The 20,869-nt window shown below is 34.0% G+C and overlaps 1 protein-coding gene and 1 long non-coding RNA gene across 25 annotated transcripts in view; one reads left to right on the forward strand and one right to left on the reverse strand.

The window, feature by feature from the left end:
- DPP10 (dipeptidyl peptidase like 10) overlaps positions 1-20,869 on the forward strand; it is a 1,403,140-nt gene that overhangs the window by 1,296,648 nt on the left and 85,623 nt on the right. For 23 of the 24 annotated variants that reach the window (NM_001321910.3, NM_001399849.1, NM_020868.6 and 20 more), the window contains 3 exon segments: positions 451-605; positions 6,798-6,895; positions 13,886-14,009. In NM_001321910.3, the coding sequence (NP_001308839.2) occupies positions 451-605; positions 6,798-6,895; positions 13,886-14,009 (377 nt within the window). 24 annotated transcript variants of the gene reach the window in all.
- LOC105373572 (uncharacterized) lies at positions 201-17,534 on the reverse strand. Its single transcript, XR_923234.3, has 3 exons — positions 17,498-17,534; positions 15,447-15,476; positions 201-280 (listed from the first exon to the last, which is right to left on the reverse strand). It is a non-coding gene; the product is annotated as an uncharacterized LOC105373572 (long non-coding RNA).

The raw sequence follows: 20,869 nt of genomic DNA on the forward strand, positions 1-20,869 counted from the left end.
GTATACTTCTTATTCCATTTTCTTAGAGCTTAAAATAGTTTGATGAATCTAGTGGGCCCTCAGTTTGGTTGATGATGGTAGAATGCAAATATGATTACATGCAAATGTGAATGAATCATGACATGGATATGGTTTTAGGCCACATCTCACTCTTCAATCACCGTTCTCATTCTGATTACTCCAGTAGTGCTTTCATCTGTTCTGTCTACATTGCTGAAAATCCATGAAATCCTGACTTAGGTGCTTCATTGTTTCCTTCCTCTACAGCTGCTTGCTCTTCCTGGAATTAAAAGGGTGACTCAGAATTAGAGAATTTTCAGGGAAGTTAATAAAATTCAATACACAGTCTAGAAAATATAGGTGTACAATGGAGATTTCAAGGACAGATGTTTGTGGGTCACTGAGCCCACATCTCTACAGTTGGTCTCAAATAACACTCATTTATTCTAGAGGAACTCCTGCATTCTCACATCGCCCACTGGTGGTCACCAGATGGAGAAAGACTTGCCTTCCTGATGATAAATGACTCTTTGGTACCCACCATGGTTATCCCTCGGTTTACTGGAGCGTTGTATCCCAAAGGAAAGCAGTATCCGTATCCTAAGGTAAGTAACATGGAAGTACTATTTTGTTCCTTCTCTCTCTCTGCACTAGTGACTTGACAGATGGTATTCTTGGTTCTTGAACAAGTTGTCTTTGGAGGAAAACAGAAGTTTTCCTTACTTGTCAGACTCATCACTTTCGATCTCCCAGTAGTCTATACACAGTGCTTGGGTAGAGAGAGGTAGAGATGATTTGAAAGTGTGTGAACTTTCACTTTTGTTGCATTTCTTTCCTTTTGATGCTCACTTTTATTTTTTCACACCTTACAGTTGAAAGGGGAGAGAGAAGCAATTGGGGGTGTACTGAGGCCAGGGCAATGTTTTGTCCAAGGCCTATTCCATAATAGGTGTTACAAAGGAGGGGAAAGTGCCATGGTCAAATACATTGGAAGTTCTTAAAAAAAAATCTAGCTTCTTTCAGATGATTTCTTAGAGCACTTAATGTGCTATATGTTAATGTATATTATAAATCTTCTATAAAAAATAGACTATGCATAAAGAATCTCCAGTCTGAAATAGATTAAGCATAAAGAATCTCAATAAAGAAAGGACCAAGTATAAAAAAATCACCCATAAAGAATAGACTAAGCAGAAAGCATTTATTAGTATTAGTATCAATATCAGCATTACCTTGGCAGAGCATACTCTAGAACACACTATATAAAATGCTGGTATGGAGTCATAGCCATGGTTAGGTAAGACAGATGGAATTTTTCATCAGGTGAAGAAATATGGCAATATGTTCCAGACAGCAAAACTATTTTCAAGTGTTGGGCAAGGCCTCTATAAGAGGGTTGCAAAAACATCTGGATTGTACTGTTTTTTCCTCTGTATGCCATCTTTAATTGCTCGAGATCTCTTTTAAACATGTATTTTTTCCCAATGTTTATATAACAAAGAAGAAGGCTCATGTGTAAGGCCCCCAGTATATTAATCATGTAAAGAAGTCTTATGGGAAACGTGTAAAATTTCTCTTCTCATTTTAGCTCCTAATTAAGTAAGAGAGGATGTTGATCTCATTTAGAAGCCATTTTTAAGCCATTTCTTTAGTGAGTTGTACTTTGTCTTTTTCAAGCACAATAGGTTTTCTGCCGTTTAATTCATGCACTACATTAGTTAGACAAACTACTGGGTAGGTTCCCATCACCCTCATTACTCTAGCCCTGTCAGGGTGGGGGTGAGGTCATTTACACTTTCCTTCTGTTCCCACCAGCCACCATATTCATTTTATCCAAAGGCAAAAAAAGGAGGCTTGAATATTGAGGATCAGAAATAAAATGAGCATATTCCTCAGTGAGATTTCTCATCCATGTTCCTTCCACAGGTTGTAGTATTAAATGCAAGATTATAAAGAGTATGATTCCATGATTTTAAAATGTGATTTATAGGGTCTTCTCTGGACATAGATTAGAAAGCAGATATACTCAGTGCTTTTTAGGAGAACATAATGATTTAACTTCACAAAAAAAAAATACTAAGAGATTTTTATTGTACTCAAAGAAAAGAACTTCTGCTTTCTCCAATTATAGATTTAGCTTTTTTTTTTTTTGGCATGACAGTTTGGACCTATACAGCATACCAGCACTATTTTTTCCCCCAGAGAAAACCTGAAAAGTTGCCCCAAATATATTAATTCTCACATTGTTTGATTTATGATAATAAATGTTCACCTGACAATTTAAATGTGAAATGGAGAACTAGTGACATACTGTGAAAGGCACATTCAACTGTTCAGTGCACTGCACAAAGGGAATACAATCACATCTGACTGCTCAACGCACTGCACAAAGAAAATTCAGTCAGTTCTGTGGAAGGGACAACTGTTTGTAACTGATTTCCCAAAAGAAATGGGATTTTTTTTTATTCACATAGTAAAACCAAATGCATTGCTGCATGCTCAAATTGCCTTCTTAGTTCTAGACTCATGGTGCTTGAACTTGGCCATGCCTAGGCCTCATAATTTTGACTAGATTGAGACAAACAAACAAACCAATGGGAGCATTTGAGGAAATTAAATTATGTCAGCAATAATTCAGAAGATACTGGATATGAACCTAGATACTTTATCATTTGATAATGTCTTCTAATAAATTAATATTGCTTAATAGTAAAGATAGGCGTAACATAATAATCTTTGTTTATTAATTGTAGAAATCACAGGTACTAATGATAAACTTTATGTTTTCAGGGAGACTTTCCACTTGTTTGTTTTTTTCTTATTTGGTCTTTATCACAATTGTCTCAATTTTACAAATGAGCAAATAGATTCTGAAAGGCTTAGTGCTTTTATACAAGTCACAGTTATTTTAAGAACAGGGAAAAAACTCAAATCTATTGATTTCATCCCTCTCTATAAAACTCCCACAGGTCAACAATTTGTATTTCCAAAAACACAGCTGGAATCCAAACATCTCCTTGTCAAGTTAACATATACATATGGAGCTCTGTTTGCTCCATTTACTCCTAATGACTTAGCTACATGTGGGTGCCATTCTTAGCCTCAAACCTGTCATTTTATATATATGCAAATAATATGTATAACTATATATGATAACTACCATTAATATTTATTAGAAGTAAAAAACATATGCCTCTAATAGGCAAAGCCAAAAGAAAGAATTTCCAGTCCTCAGGTGATTTTTAGTAGGAAGACCTGCTCACCTACCCAGGTACTTAAGACAATAGGACTCTAAGAAAATAATCTGTTTTGGTCCTTGTTCTTAAAACAAATTTCAGTATCATTTTGGGTATGTTACGTCAATTTTCAGATTTTTTATTATCTACTCTGGTTTCAAAAAATGTTTTGTTAGTTTTTGCTGTAACAAATGTATTGTTTCAATTCACTCTTATGTGATAAACTTTCAAAAAGTGCCACTTTGGAAACTGAAACAACACATAGAGTTTATACTAAATTGTGCTTTAAATTAAACTAGATGAAAATGAGTATAGCAAATACCTAATGTGGTCAGATTTACTAATGAAATACAGTAAACAAATATATTTGTATTTTACTTAATTCAGCATGATTCAGAACTCATAAAATACCCTATCATTAGCAATTCAGCACAAAACAGATGCACGGTTCTATCCCAGTAACCTCAGGTTAATCTTTGTAATTAAAACATTATCTTGTTTAATGACAATCTAGTTGCCAGTAAAATAAGGTTAATTGTTATTGAGGCTTGTGTTTCAGAATAATAGAGGGGAGAAATTTGTGGATTTGCAGTCTTCATGGCAAATGTAACTGTAAAAAGCAAATAGATGAAAACCCTCCAATCTGCAAACTCTTGAAATTATTCAAATATTAAAATTTACAAATGAACTTGCGATGTGTGCTTAATTTCAAAACTCCATGGAAAGATACAAATCTGTGATTAGAGAATGCTGGACTGTTGAATTTTGGAGGCAGCCTAACGCTTAGTTGAGATGTTCACGTTTTGTCTGAAAACTGGCCACATTGTGTGCACAATTTTTACTTTGTGATAAGCTTATAGCGCTGCTGACATAAAGAAAACTGCCTTAAAGATGATAACTGATACGTCTTTAAGAAAGTATGCCATAAAACTGTGCATCATTGGTAAGAATTCACAGAAAGATCTAATTTAATTTAATTTCCCGCTTGCTTTAATCAGTGTATCTAATGATAAAAAATAGAAGCACAGCTTTTCACTAACTGGAAGATTTAATGTCTTAACAATAATTATCATTTTAATTCACTACCATATACTATTTTAGGCACTTTACATAAATCTTTTTATTAGTTTATGAGATATTCTTATCTACAGACAGGAAACCTTCAACTCAAAATTTCTGATTTGTGACATATTCTCAAAGAAGTGTTTGTCTCATTTTTGACAAAATAAGACAAATAAAATGATACTTGAGAATCTTTAGCATGTGCTCATAACCATGCCAAGTAAATAACAGACTGAACATTTGGACTCAGGTTTCATGGACTTACACATTAAGCTAAGCCTGTTCTCGAAATGTGGTCCTTTCACCAGCATCATAGGGCATCAGCTTCATGCTGGAGGTGGACTGCCTTCAGCAGTCAGTAGCTTAAGAAGCCCCTCAGGACCTCTGAATGATTGCGATGCTGTCTAACTTTTGACCACCACTGAGCTGTTACATAGATAGATGCATAAATAGATAAAGATACAGATAAAGGTCAATGTTTTATTAAAATTTGCACACTCACTATCTGGGAATTTTGTAAAAACAGATTTGTAGGCCCACACTGAGAGATTCTAATTCCAAGTCTGAATATAGGTTTCAGGTGGGGTCCATGAATGCGTTGCTCAGGTTCCAGGAGATGCTGATTGATGCTACGGTCCAAGAACAACACTTTGAATGGCACTGCCAATACTGTGTCAGGCTGTAAAGTTCAACATACGAGACCCAGCTAGAGAAATGGTAGGCTGGTAGGCTAAAAATTGAATAGATTAAGGCCGTTATTTTGAGGGAGAAACATGACAACTAAATTAAAACAAGAATGATGTGAAAGAGAGCTCATAAGAGTCACAGAAGGCTAAACTGCCCAAAAAATGTTCCCGGGCACTGTTGGGCTTGGGAGTAATGAAAAGATTTGCAAATTCTGATCCAGAACCTTTGGCGTGCGGGAGGCTCATAGCTTATCTTCCAGGAAGCCCTTTACTCTATGAACCAATTTCATAATCTCTCTTAACAGTTACCTCATTTCCATAGTGGAAACCTTTCCTGACTTCTTTCTTTGGCTCAAAACTTCTAACCTGTGAATGATGTACTTCCACAGATGTGCTAGTCTCTTTTGATATCCAACAAAACATTTATTGAGGAACTCCTGCTGGCTACTGTTGGCATATATTATGTTGATTCTGGTCCTGATTTAACTATGGGTTTTGTCAATGCCAATTCCTTAAACATGGATCTTCGTCATTTTTAAATCAGTTTTATTCCCTTTAGGTTGTTTATTGGATTTTTTAATTCAACTCACATTTAATTTCCTTTTTCTTTTCTATATATCTCATGTGGACTTCTTTAAGCATCAGCCACATCATAAGGATAATGGCATATTGTTTAGAAACATATTAAGTACCTTATTGGTACTTAATGGCATATTAAGTCTAAACTTAATGGCATATTAAGTTTAGAAACATTTGGTACCTCATTGATGGGGTTATTCATTTATTCATTCCAATTGCTTGAAATATGTCATGAAAGTTCTCATTCCTGCCCCTTACTCACAGTGTATTTGGCAAAACTTTGAAGGCCATTGTGTTGGAACAAACAGAAAGCGCAATATTCGCATTGTAGTTAAGAACATCCTGGGTTTAAATACTAACTTTCTCAGTTTTAGGTATTTCACGTTGCACTGTTTGCTTAGATTCTCCATTGTGACCAAGAGAATGTTTATATCTTACGACTGTAGTAGGGACATTTAATTTAATAATTTGTGCAATGCCTTTAGTGCCTACTATGTGCCAGAAACGTACCAACTACTATGCCTGCTAGTTATTATTTATTTAATGAAGTGTTGATTCACTGAACTCAAATTAAATTATCCTTGCTATCCTTGCCTTTCTGTTCTTCATGCCAGGTACTCAGTGAGGACAGTCTGCCCATGGCCCACCTCCCAAGGGTTGTCAATTATGCAAATGAGTCACCCCATTTAGTAATTAGTAATGTTTAAAAGGAAAGCCCGGGAGATTAATGCGATAGCATACATTACGGTTTTGGAATTTTAAGCACAGGGCACCTGGTTTTGGTAGGCGTCTTTCTTTCTTTCCTTTCTATTTTTCTTCATTTCTCCTCTTTTTTTTTAATTAGCCAAACCTTCTTCCCATTGCATTTCATATCCTCTAATGTGAATAACTACTTGATCTACTAGTTTGTTTGTTTGTTTGTTTGTTTGTTTGTACAGCCAGCCCTTCTGGTGCCATTTTAGGGAAAGAACACAGAAGCACTGCCTAATGAGTGAAGTCATCACGATTTCCTATCACCTTTAATTGTCTGAAGAAAATGATTGAGAAGCAGCAATCTTCAAAAACAATTGAGGGCAATCATGTTGTCGAATTTAAAATCATTTCTACTTCAGAGAAATTAAACTTTTTTTCTTTTCTAACACAAAACAGTAAATGAATCAAAAATCCTTTTCTTTTTTACCCAATATATTCTAATGCTTAATGTACTTGCAATACAACTTTCATTTTCTCAAAGGCAGGTCAAGTGAACCCAACAATAAAATTATATGTTGTAAACCTGTATGGACCAACTCACACTTTGGAGCTCATGCCACCTGACAGCTTTAAATCAAGGTATGCAATTTCAATTTCACTTTTATGGGGAAATAGATATTTTCACTCCAATTATCATTTTGTTGCAATTTAGAGAGAGATGTGATCAGCTCAACAAATCCACTTGAAAATAAAGCTGAAGTTGCCTACATTAGTGAGGAATGAAGTCATTCTCGGTCTCTGGCTGTTCCTAGGAAGCATTTAGCTCCAAGGTGATTATCAGCACCATACAATGACTGAAGAGGCTGATACTGAGAATTAGGTCTTTTGCTGGAGATGTGACAGAGATGGGAACAAAAGATCATTTTCCACTGAATTTTCTTCAAGAAAATAGTTGCTCCACATTTTTTTTGAAGGTGTTCATTAAAAGTGTATAATCTCTCTGGAATTTGTGAGTTTTTCCAACTTTCTCCCCATAGTTTTGCCAAAGATTCTCTAGCTTTCTTCTCCAGACATTTAAGAATTTTTTTTTCAAAATATCCTATGTATGAAATACTTATATTTAAGAAACTTGATCAGGGAGAAAGTAAACACATTTTATTGGGTCAGAAGCATAATTGTAATATTAGCAAAATCTTCAGTAGTGAACAACTAATTAAATAATCATGTGTATTTTGAAATCCATCATGGTTTCAGACTTCAAAAGTGATTCTTTCAAATACTAGAGTCCTTTGGAAATTTATCACAACCCTAGAGATGGGATAGGCAGCTGATTTAGAAAAATGTTTTCACATTATATTGAATGATGTGGGGATAAGTTCAAAGTTTATTTTGATGATATCGATAATCAGGGTGATTGGTTCCCACAGAAATTTCATTCAAATGTTGTTTCATTGACATTATTTAGAAAAAATTTCATCCCAGTTGGTCATTTTCACAGAGAGTGCAGCCTGATGTGTGTGGAAATTTTACGTACTTGAAAAGGTAATAAAGGTTTATGGAATGCTTACTCCAGAAGACCCTCATTAACTACCTAATATAAACTTCTCCTTCTACTGATGGAAAAGATAAATCCCAGTGAGAGTAAATGATTTAGATTAGGGGCTCAGGACTCATTGATAAGAAAAGTAGAAAATGAAGTAAGGACTCTTTCATCAGGTTACAGAGCATTTCATCCACGTTGGATGGAAGACCTTAATAATAGGCCTGAATTGGCATATAATGTAATACAGTTGACCAAATCAAATAGTAACATTTATTTCTGAGCTTGATCTAGCAGCCATGAATGGTTACGTTACAAATGAAACAATGATGGATACTATTGACATTTTATCTGGTCCTTAACTCTTATCTTTTTCTCTGGTTTGTTTAATGCTATGGAATAACAGAAAAGGGAAATAGACTAGGAGTGCTTGAGTCACATGTCTACCACCATTTCATTTGTCTCATTGGATAAATCACTTTACCTCTCTCAGGGCTGAATCCCCTTGTCTTTTTTTTTTTTTTCTTGAGATGGAGTCTCACTCTGTCACCCAGGCTGGAGTTCAATGGCACAATCTCGGCTCACTACAAGCTCCGCCTCCCAGGTTCACGCCATTCTCTTGCCTCAGCCTACTGAATAGCTGGGAGTACAGGCACCTGCCACCACGCCCAGCTAATTTTTTGAATTTTTAGTAGAGATGGGGTTTCACTGTGTTAGCCAGGATGGTCTCAATCTCTTGACCTCGTGATCCGCCCGCCTTGGCCTCCCAAAATGCCGGGATTACAGGCATGAGCCACTGTGGCTGGCCCCGCTTGTCTTGAAATAAAATTTCTAATTTTTTTCCTTTCAAAAAAAGTTTGCAATGGGAATCAAATTTACAATATCCATGTTTCTTTCTAAAAGGAGCTCTTGATTCCTGACCTTGATTTTTTTTACCTATTTGTATAAATATAAACATATATAAATTGAATTATTAATAACATACTTTCTTCATGTCCTATTAAGTTAATCAAATGTCCTCTCTTCTCTTTGATGTTTGTGTTGTGTTCATAGTATAGCTACCTGTACAGTTTAAAATACTGCCTAAACTCTCAATAGCAGAATATTTAAATAATTCATTTTATAATAATTTACATGTTTATGGGTTTTTTTTTTTTAGTATGTTACTTAAGCATCTGGTATATTTTTATAATCTTTAGGTTATCTGTGAATTGACAGCCAATAAGTGAATCATATTATGTTTCTCAGTACAGTTATAAACTATCATTTTTTTCTTTTTTAGTACTTTTTTCCACCACACCTAAACCACAAATATGATCATCTCTTAGTTTTCTTGTCTTAATAAAATCGCCAAAATGACTACAATAATAATTGAATACATATATGATTATGTCTATATAAGGAGGAATAATAGTAAGATAAATATAGAAAGATTTTTTTCATGACTTCCACTACCTTATAAACCAGATTCTCTGACCTCCACACTGGAGAACAACATTTTTTTGTTGTTTGAATTGAAGATCTTAGGTCCTTTTTTTGGTCTGTCTGATTGCTTATTTGGATGATTGGTTTCCTTATTTATAATAACTAGTGTTTATCACTGTAATAGAAAAAGTTCCCCAAGCTAGTATCATTATCCCTTCAACCCAATACTTATACTCACCAAAGACTGTAAAATACATTTTAATTAATTTATATGATTTAGAAAGAAATTAAAAGGATAAGATAATCTACAGAAAGACATAATTTCTTCTCCTAATTCTTACCCTCATAGTCTCTTCAATTGTTTTATTTATTTATGTCTGATTCAGCTGAAGTCATTTCATCAATTTAGACAATGAGTGCAACTTTTCCTCAATAATAATTCAGTTCAGACTCATCTCATCACCATTCAGTTTATCTTTACCTGAATCACAGTCTGTATTGATTCTGAAAAGAATGTAGCATGGTAGGAACTAAGATAATGCCCCTTTTTGAATATCCCCAGAACTAGTGGGAGTTGGATGGGTTATCTCATCTTGGAAGGAAGAAACATTTTGTCAAATTGTTGTACTGTGCACTTAAGGTATTGCAATCACACAATACCTTTATTAGAAAATTTAAGTGTGAATTTTAAAATATATATTTACTTTCCAGGGAAATTTTATCTTATGATAATGAATCATGAAGATTTTCCACAGATTGGATAAGTCACATTAATTTGGAGAAGTGATACGTGGTCATTTGTGTAGACCTCTCTAGTCTGAAGAGTAAAAGTAATGATTTGTCCTTGGTTTCTTCTTACTCTATGTCCTTAGCATTATTTTACTTCTTAGAAATCTTTCTGTAGTCACTTATCTTTTGTGACCCATTGTTCTCAACCTGCATCACTGATTTAACATGGTCATTTTGCCCCTGTGACTCTGGGCTTGACACTGTCATGCTTTCTCTCCCTATTTCTTTAAGTATATCTAGCCTACATCTCTTACTCTTCCAAGGAGTATCTGTGCCTTCCAAGAAAATCTAATTAATAAATTAACCCATGTTCATGGAAGTGTCCTGAATAACCCTTCTGACAAGTAATGCATAGTTATTAACAGAGGTCTTTGTAGAACGCTAGCTATAATTTGGTCATGAATACCATCACAATATACTTATGGGAAGACATCACAGATTATCTAGAAGAAAATGAGCTCAAAGTAACTACACCGCACAAATATTTTGGTGTAAACACAGAGCAATGATTGGACAGGAAGGCCATGAAAACACGGTGTAACTGCTAACATACCTGTCTGCAGGTGATGCTGGGGCCTCCATTCCACATAACCTTGTGTACAATTAGATCTTCTGTGCCAGACCACCCAGCTGATAGAAAGTCTGTTGACTTGAGTGCAATCCCTCTAACTAGCTTGTCTCTGTCTCTGTGGCTCAAGAGGACCAGATCCTCGAGGACTTCCTGGGTAATCCAGAGCCATGGAGACTAGGAACAAGCAGGAAACCCAGTTATAAGAAAGGGACACTTCTGCTGGCCACTGGTCGTGGAACACCAGATCTAATGTGTTCATGAGATGGAGTTCCAGGAGGACAGCTACATCTGCAGCAGGCAGGCCAACGAGTGTGACATTTCCAGGTAAGGGTGCTTCCCTACTCCCTCATTCAGAGACAGCCTGAATACTTATGAGTAAGCAAGATCAGTCAATATGAATCACAGGGAGATGTACACCTAGGCTCCTGGGGCAAGGAAAGAAAGGATATAGGAAGTGATTGAGTTAATAGATATATCTTTCCTCCCTGCCTATGTGTCAAGCTCTACTTGAGCTTCCATTTTGGCTATCTCCAACACCTTCATATAGAAATTTCAGTGGTTTGAAATGGTCGTTTGTTAGACTTTACCAATTAAAATTTGTGGAGAGCTTTCATTCTTCAGATTGTGTTTACCATGTGCAAGGTCATTCTTGGGTATAAGCAAGGTTTGTAATGAGGTATCTCACATCAGATTATGCTTTGCTTATGACCGTAAGCCACATTATTTAAAAACAGACACAATAATCACAATATTTAATCAAAGAGAACTATAAGTATATTGCTGTAAATTAATGATTTTCAAGTTAACAGTTTACAACTAAGTTAGTGTTCCCTTAAAAATCAGTTATTCACCACATTTGTACTCGTTGGCTTTTCATTCTTTTCCAAAGATTAAGTTCTTTTTTTTAAGTCAAAATTTGGCATCTTAGCTAATAAATATATTCTGTCATGCCTGTGAGGTGTTGCAAAGATGTTCTTGTAGCATTTCATTTGAGACCAACTTTGAAAAGGAAAGCTCTCAAGATGAATGTTTAAATTCTGTTTTGTTGTTGGTGGTATTTATTTTTAAAATTATTCATGTTAGTTTGTTACCTCATATTGCACAAAATATAATATTATGGCAGGTAATTGAGACAAATTTCTGATTATATTAGAAAAGCAACTATATATCAGTTCAATATAGAGTTTACCAAAAAATATGACCTTCTTGATTTTGCAGTCTTTGGTTAGTTGTTTACAATATTCAAATTAATTTTTTACTTCAAATTTCAACAACATTTATATCAATTATTCAGCATTTCAGCACTTATTTTCTGATTATTTATAGTACTTACTATCATTTTTCTATAAACTAAATTCTCTAGAAAAATCTATTAAAGGTTAATACTTCATTTTCTACTTTTTAATATTCACATTGCTAAATATAATGGTGTATGCAAAATAATCGGCTTAAACGAAACACAGTGAAAGTGAACAGGACACTGTTCTTTGCAGGATCACAAGGCCTATTGATATGGACAAAGATTATACCTAAGCCAGCTGCATATTTGATTCAATGTTGCCTTATTAACTCTACTTCGGGCACTTTATGTTTTGATTTCACTGAGTTTAAAGGCAGTTTTCAAGCAGAGCTCAGCTAGTTGTGGCAGCTGCCAGATGTCTTGAAGAAATTGTTGAAAAAAATATTACAGCCTTCCTTGTATGTCAAGTTATGCTTGCCCTTCTACTGACATCTTCACTTTGATAGGCTAACAGGTTTTCTAGAGGAAACAGTAGCTACTCGGTAATGTTAGATATGTAACATTCATGTAGTTGTATATCTAACCCAGATACCTCTAAAGACAGGCAATTTGTATCAAGAGGTTATTTTTCTGTAGTTGATATTTTTCTAAGTCATATAAAACTGGGTTAATTAACTGTGTTTTTTTTTTGTTGTTTTTTTTTTTTTGAGACAGAGTCTTGCTCTGTCGCCCAGGCTGTAGGGCAGTGGCACGATCTCGGCTCACTGCAACCTCTGCCTCCCAGGTTCAAGTGATTCTCCAGCTTCAGCCTCCCGAGTAGCTGGGATTATAGGCATGTGCCACAACACCCGGCTAATTTTTTGTATTTTTAATAGAGACAGGGTTTTACCATGTTAGCCAGGATGGTCTCCATCTGCTGACGTCGTGATCCACACGCCTTGGCCTCCCAAAGTGCTGGGATTACAGGCATAAGTCACTGCACCTGGCCAAAACTAGTTTAATTAGTTTTAATACAGTACATTGATGACACTTTCCGTGACACGTGGATGGCTGTTTCTTCTGAGATCAGATGAGATTGGGCATGTTCAGGATGGTATGGCTGTAGACTGGATGGCTATTTCTAAAGTAACTGATCTGTTCTGAAACTGGGCAAGTTTTTAGAGAAGTTTTTTTAAGTTTTTATCATAAATGGATGAGTATTGATGATTGCATTTTGTTGCGTGTGAGTTGGAAGCTTTGTGACATATTGTATACCTGTCCAAATGTATGTGTTACAAAGGAAGATATATAAACTTTCCAATCACCAGTTACCATGAGGACATAATTGGCCCCATAAATTATATCTTTATTATACCAAGAATTTAATAGACTCCCATCTTCTTTAATTTGATTCATTTCTTGTTTAAAAATGTTTCAAATAAATAAGATAATTAACAATATGGAAAAAATTATGTATTAAAAATTGGGACTGGTCCTTGGTCTACAACTGGCAAAGACCAAAACAAACCATTCATACCTTGGTAGCCAAAGTCCCCACGTATGAAGTGAAATAACACAGAGGTTATGTATAAAGGATATAATTATTAAGCCAGGAATAATCTTTGCCTTTTAACTGGAAGAGATTATTCTTGATGATTCATTGATTGTGATTTTAAAGAAAAAAATAACATACCTTTATAAATGTATACTTGTTTTGCACTTAAAGGAGTACTAATCAATAGAAAATTTTCATAAATATCTAGCATGTCATTGTTTTGATTTTTCCAAGAAATACTTTTCTGGGAAATAATTCACTCTCAAATTTGTTCTCAAATTATCTGTATATTTGTATACATATGTATACATCCATGTGAATACATACATACACATATATTTGTATTTATATATGTAAATATTGAAAAGAGCAGATATCTATTTATCTATCTATCTATACATAAATTAATATGTAGCAACATCCTTATAGTGGTTCAGTTATTCTTATATATAAAATGGCAAATGTATATTGTTGGTACTATATCAATGCTCTGGCTCTAAACATACATTTTAATTTTGTTTCCAAACTAGAGAATACTATATCACTATGGTTAAATGGGTAAGCAATACCAAGACTGTGGTAAGATGGTTAAACCGAGCTCAGAACATCTCCATCCTCACAGTCTGTGAGACCACTACAGGTGCTTGTAGTAAAGTGAGTATAATTTATTTTTCTTTTATGCCTAAAATGAAGTAGCTTATGCAGCTTTACAAAGGGGAAACAGGAAATGCTTTGTACAAAAAAAATTCAGTGTTTAACTTTTAAAACTAATAGGAAAAGAATTATTCTATTAAGAATATATACTTTAATTTATAAAGCTTCCAAACTTTGAAGTGAACAATATTGATGATAAGCAGAAGAGAACAAACTGAGCTTTTGAAAACCAAATTAATTTTTATACAGCATGAAGTATAATCCAAGCCACGTTAGCTTCTTTCTCAGATATGGAATTTTTCTCCATATTTTGTCTTTGATTATCTTGAGAATATAAGAAGTTTCTTTCCTATCTTCTTTAAACATATTCCTTTTAATTTTTTCTGTAGTTCAGATAGATCTGATAAAATAACAGTGTTTCTGTACTGAAATTAAGTAAAACAAGTAAAAAATTGGTTCATGAACTACTCTGTTTTGAAATCAGGTTATATTTCAATTCTTAATACCAGTTTTTGTAAACTCTGTGGTAAATTCAATGTGTCATTTTTAAGATTCCTGGTAGAGAAAACACTGCAGTAAGTTTAAACGGTTATGTGTATGGTATTTGGGTAAAGCGTTTTTAGATTAACAACTGAATTTTCAAACTTCTGTTCTGGAAAAGATGGAGTACGTGTTACCTGACTAGCTTTTCTGTTATAAACAACTGTAAAATTGTACAAAATATACAAAACATCTGTTTTCAGATATGGGACATTAGGAGGATCATGACCATAAATGCTGAAATCAAGTAAATGCACAAAATCAACCTTGCTATGACTTTCTATTCACAACACTTTTGAGACCAAATGGCAAGGAGATGGAGCCCAAGCAAAGCAAAAAGATTTTTGTGATCTAAGCAGACAGGGAGAACCAGCGTTTGAGGCTTTTTTTGGTGACTAGCATTTATAGGACAGGGACCAGAGAAGTTGGAGCTTTATAGAAAAGGACTCCAGCAATCTATGGAGAGGACCCCTTAAGTATTAGGCTCAATGCTTAGCTGTGCATACCTATATGTTTCCACACTGTCTTAAAGAAAACAACTACTAAAAATTTTTGAAGCAAATGAAGAATCTGCAAGTTGCAAAGTACTTAGAGACGTTAGAGTTCTGAACAACAATAGTGAAGAGATCTCCCTGAAAACCCTGGGTATTCAACTGAGAACCCAGAAAGAAAGCACATTAGAAGTAGGGCTAGTCTAGACACCTTCTAATCACCTTTCAATTACACTGTAAGGTATCAAGTTCATCTGTCTGTAAATTAACTGTCTACTAGGACAAAGTGTACATTTTTAAAGGGGAAATTACAATTGATAAAGACTATCAACAATGTAGCATTTATAATGTCAATCATATGATCAATACTATATATGTAGAAAAGTGGAAAATATAACCTACTCACCTTCCTCAAAAATATCCAGTAAAAGCTGACCTACAAAGGATAGTAATATTGGAATTAGCAGACACATGTTTTACAAGTTATTAGAAATGATAAATGTTGGAAGTGATGGATATCTTAAATACACTGATTTGATTATTGCACCTTGTATACAGGTATCAAAATATCACATGTACTCCAAAATATGTATGATTATTATGTATCAATAAAAAATTAAAAATCAAGGTAAAAGTTAAGTACAGTGAAGTGAAGAAATCTCACATGTGCAGTTAAATGAGTTTTGGCAAATGCATATATCCCGTAATTCACACCTCATCATGATATAAAACATCCCTATTATCCCAGAAAGTTTCTTTGTCCTCTTTTTCAATCAGTCTCAGTTCCCAGAGGCAACTACTATTCTGAGGTCTATTATAAATTAGTTTCGCATGTTTTTAAACTGCATATAAATGCATTTATACAATAACAAAGTTATTAGAAATAAATCTAACAACTTAGAATAGCTCCAATAAATAAACAGGTGGAAATTTTAGTGGAGAAATAAACTTTAAAATGAAACTAAAATTTCAGGAACTGAAAAATACAATGTTTGAAATGAAAACATTGAATAGACAATTCAGAAATAAATACATGTGTTTATAGTGAACTGATTTTCAACAAATGCATCAGAACAGATATTAGGGAAAGGACAGCCTCTTTAGTAAATATTGCTGGAAAACTGGATGTCAATGTGCAGAAAAATGAAACTAGATGTGTATCTCTCACCATATACAAAATTCAACTCAAAATGAATTAAAAACTGAACCGTAATTTCCAAAGCTATAAAACTACTAGAAGAAAACAGAGAAAATGCTTAAGGACATTGGTCTAGGCAAAGATTTTATGGCTAAGACTTCAAAAGCACAGACAACAAAAAGAAATGTAAATTGGTACTGCTATTATGGAAAACAGTATGGAGGTTTCTCAAAAAACTAAAACTATAATTAACATATGTTACTAGCAATTCTACTACTGGGCATTTATCCGAAACAAAGGAAATTAGTATATGAAATACACACCTGCATCTGATGTTTACTGCAGCTGTGCTCATAATAGTAGGGATGTAGAATCAACCTAAATGTTCATCAATAAATGAATGGATTTTTAAAAAAGCATACATATATACTTTTTAAAAAGTATATATGTATGCTTTTTTAAAAAGTGTGTGTGTGTGTATATATATACATAAAACATTCCATTGTACATATACAATGGAATACTATTCAGCCATAAAAAAGAATGAAATTCTGTCATTCATGGCAACATGGATAAGTCTGGAGGACGTTATGTTAACTGAGATAAGCGAGTCAACACAAAGATAAATATCACATGCTCTTACGTCTATCTGGGGGATAAAAGAAATTGCACTTATAGAAGTAGAGAGTAGCATTGTGCTTATAAGAGTCTGAAAAGCTTGGGAGGAAAGGATAGAGAGAAGTTAGTTAACAGATACATTACAGCTAGATAAGAGGATTAAGTTCTAGTGTTCTGAAGCACTGAAGGTTGAATGTGGTTAATAATGATTTAGTGTTTATTTTCAAATAGCTAGAAAAGAGAATGTTGAATGTTTAAAGCACATAAAAAATGATAAATGTTTGAGGTAGTGGATATATTAATTATCCTGACTTTGTCATTACACATTTTTTACATGTATCAAAATAGCACTCTGTATTTATAAATATATACAGTAATTACATGTCAACTAAAAATAAAAGGAAAATACATCACCAAAGTGAATGTATGAAGAGGAAGAATATTTGAATAATTTTACATCAATTAAAGATAAAAATAAAGAATGAATTAAAGATAAATTTATTTAGTAAATTACATAAATTTAATTCATAATTAGAAACCTTGCCACAAGGAGAACTCTAGAAGCGGGTGGATTGCATGATGGATTCTATCAATTATTAAGGAATAAATCCTGTAATTCCTTGTCTTGGTTTGTTTTGTGCTGCCATAACAACCTACCACAGGCTGGGTAGTTTATAATGAACAGAAACTTATTGACTCACAGTTTTGGAGGCTGGGAAATTCAAGATCGAGAGGTTGGCATCTGGTGAGGGACTTCTTGCTGCATCATCCCATGACAGAAGGGCAAAGAGAGGGTGAGAGAGAGAGAAACAAAAGGAGGCTGAACTCGTCCTTTTATAAGGAGCCCACTCCTGTGATAACAAACCTACTCCCATAATAAAGACATTAATCCATTAATGATGGCAGAACCCTCATGGCCTAAATACTCCGTAAGATTTTACCTCTTAATACTGTTGCAATCACACAATCACAATTAAATTTTAACATGATTCCGGAGTGGGGAGCAAATATTCAAACACTGTATCATTCTTTCTAAGGAGTATATGATAACATCCCTGTACTCCTTAGAAAGTGAAGAAGAAAGAGAACATTTCAACTAATATTATAAGAGTAGAATAATACTGATACCACAACTAGACAAGAAAAATACAAGAGACAACATTTTAGACTGATCTCTCTCATTAACACGTGTAATAGTCTGTTTTCATGCTGCTGATAAAGACATACCGAGACTGGGCAATTTCCAAAAAAAAATAATAATAATAAGGTTTATTAGACTTACAGTTCTGCATGTCTGGGGAGGCCTCACAATCATGGCAGAAGGCAGAGAGGAAGAAGTCACATCTTATGTGGGTGGCAGGAGGCAAAGAGCTTGTGCAGGGAAACTCCCACTGTAAATCCATCAAATCTCATGAGACTCATTCACTATCATGAGAACAGCAAAGGAAAGATTCGCCCCCGTAATTCAATCACCTTCCACCGGGCTTCTCCCACAGCCATGGGAATTGTGAGAGTTACAATTCAAGATGTGATTTGGGTGGGACACAGCCAAATCATATCAGCACAAATATGAGAAAGTCCTTAAACATATCAATACTCAACTCCAGCAATATAAATAGAGGATAGTGCATTGAGATCAAATGAGGTTAATCCCAGGAACTTAAGATTGGTTTAATATTGAAAACCAATCAATATAATATATTAAGAAAAAAAGAAGAATTAAATATCTTGGTAGATGAAGAAAAAGCAATTGACAATATTCAAAACCAATTCACGATAACTTTCAATATAAATGAATAACAAGAAACATCCCCAATCTATTAAAAGATACTCATAAAGTACCCCCTTACTGAATGTGCAAACACTCACCTTATTCATGTTAAGATTAGCAGTGAGATAAGGGTATCCATTCTCAGTACTATCAAGCAAACTTTACCAGAGGCCCCACTCAGAGTAATTTAGCAAGGAATCAGTATAGTGTTAGGAAAGGAAGAAGTAAATCTGTATTTATAGATAACATAACTGTATACATTAACAAAAAAGCCTACAAAAAACCCTAGAATACAAAATCACAATTTGTAAGGATGCAAATGGGGTAAAATATAAACAAGTGGCAAGTAAGTCCAGAGGGCATTCAGGTTTCTCAAACCAGTCTTCTAACTTTTGTCTATAAGTTTGTACTTGTTTCAAAATAAAGAATGAAGAAACAACAAAACATAATTTCTAAATGTTAGTGATATTAAGAAAAAAAATCAGTTAAAATACCACTAAAACCCTTAAAACTTTAAATACACAATTATAAACTTAACAAATATTGTGAAATACCCCAATACTGAATACTACAACATTGCTAAAAGGCATTTGAAAGACCTAAATAAATGGAAGCTATTCCATGTTTTTAAATAGAAAAAATTAATATTGTTAAGATATTAATTCTACCCAAATTTAACCATAATTTTAATATAATACCAATTAAAGTCCCTTCTGATTTTTTTTGTAGAAACAGACAAGCTGTTTTTAAAATTAATATGGAAACAAAAAATACCTGAACAAGTCAAAGTAATCCTGTAAAAGAATAAAATTGAAGGAGTTAGCCCTACCTGATTTCAAGAATAAATAAAAAGCTACAAAAACCTGGAGATGCTAGTGGAGGCATAAGGACCACAAATAGGTCAACTAAATTGAATGGTTTGCAGAGAACAGACCCACATTTATATGATTGATTGATTTTCTACACAGGTGCTAAAGCAGTTCAATGGAGAAAAATGGTGCTGAAAAAATTGGCATCCCGATTGGATAAAAAAAATTGATGTTTGACAACTCATATCATATTCTAAAATCAATTTGGGATAAATCATAGCCCTAAATTTAAGAGCTAATACTGTCAGTGTTCTAGGGGAAAATATGAAATAAAACCTTACTATACTGAATAAGCCAAAAAATCATTAATTATGAAACAATAAATTGGACATCAATAAAATTAGAAACTTCTCATCAAAGACACCATTAGGGAAAAGGATATGCAAACTACAGTCTGGAAGAAAATATTTTGCCAAATGGGTATCAGACAAAAACACATATAAAGAAATTCTATAACTCAATAATAAAAACACAACCTCATAAAAACATCAAAACATGTGAACAGTTACTTATAAGGAAAAGAATGAACATATGAAAAAGTACTCAACATTTGGTCAGGTATGGTGGCTCATCCTTGTAATTTTAGTTATTTGGGAGGCTGACATGAGAGGATCTTTTGAGCCAAGAGTTCAAGACCAGCCTGGACAACAAAATGAGATCCCATTTCTATATAAAAAAAAAAAAATAAAAGCACTCAACTTCATTAGACATTAGCAAAATATAGATTAAAATTATAATGGTATATTATACATAATTAGAATGACTACACTAAAATAACAAAAAACTGACAACATTAACTGTTAAAGAGGACGTGAAAAACAAAAATTCTCGTTCTTTGCAAGTGGGAATGTAAAATGATATGATTACATTAAAATAATATTTTAGTTCCAAATGAAGTTAAACATATGTAAACACAATTTTTTTGTTTATATATAAATAAGAAGACATATATACACACACACATATATATACACATATACATTCATATATAAAAACACATTATAGGCTGGGCACGGTGGCTCATGCCTGTAATCCCAACACTTTGGGAGGCGGAGGCGGGCAGATCACCTGAGGTCAGGAGTTCGAGACCAGCCTGACTAACATGGAGAAACCCCGTCCCTACTAAAAATACAAAATTAACCGGGCATGTTGGCGCATGCCTGTAATCCCAGCTACTCCAGAGGCTGAGGCAGAGAATTGCTTGAACCTGGGAAGTGGAGGTTGCTGTGAGCCAAGATCATTCCATTTCACTCCAGTCTGGGCAACAAGAGTGAAACTCCGTCACAAAAAAAAAATACAAAAAACAAACAAAAAAAAACCCATACATTATAATTCCATTACAAAGTATTTGCACAAGAAATGAAAACATGTGTTCACCAAAGGATTTGTAAGAAATAGTCTGTAGAGAAGCTTTATTTACAATAGCTAAAAAG

This window comes from Homo sapiens, chromosome 2 (genome assembly GCF_000001405.40).
Source record: "Homo sapiens chromosome 2, GRCh38.p14 Primary Assembly".
Lineage (NCBI taxonomy): Eukaryota > Metazoa > Chordata > Mammalia > Primates > Hominidae > Homo > Homo sapiens.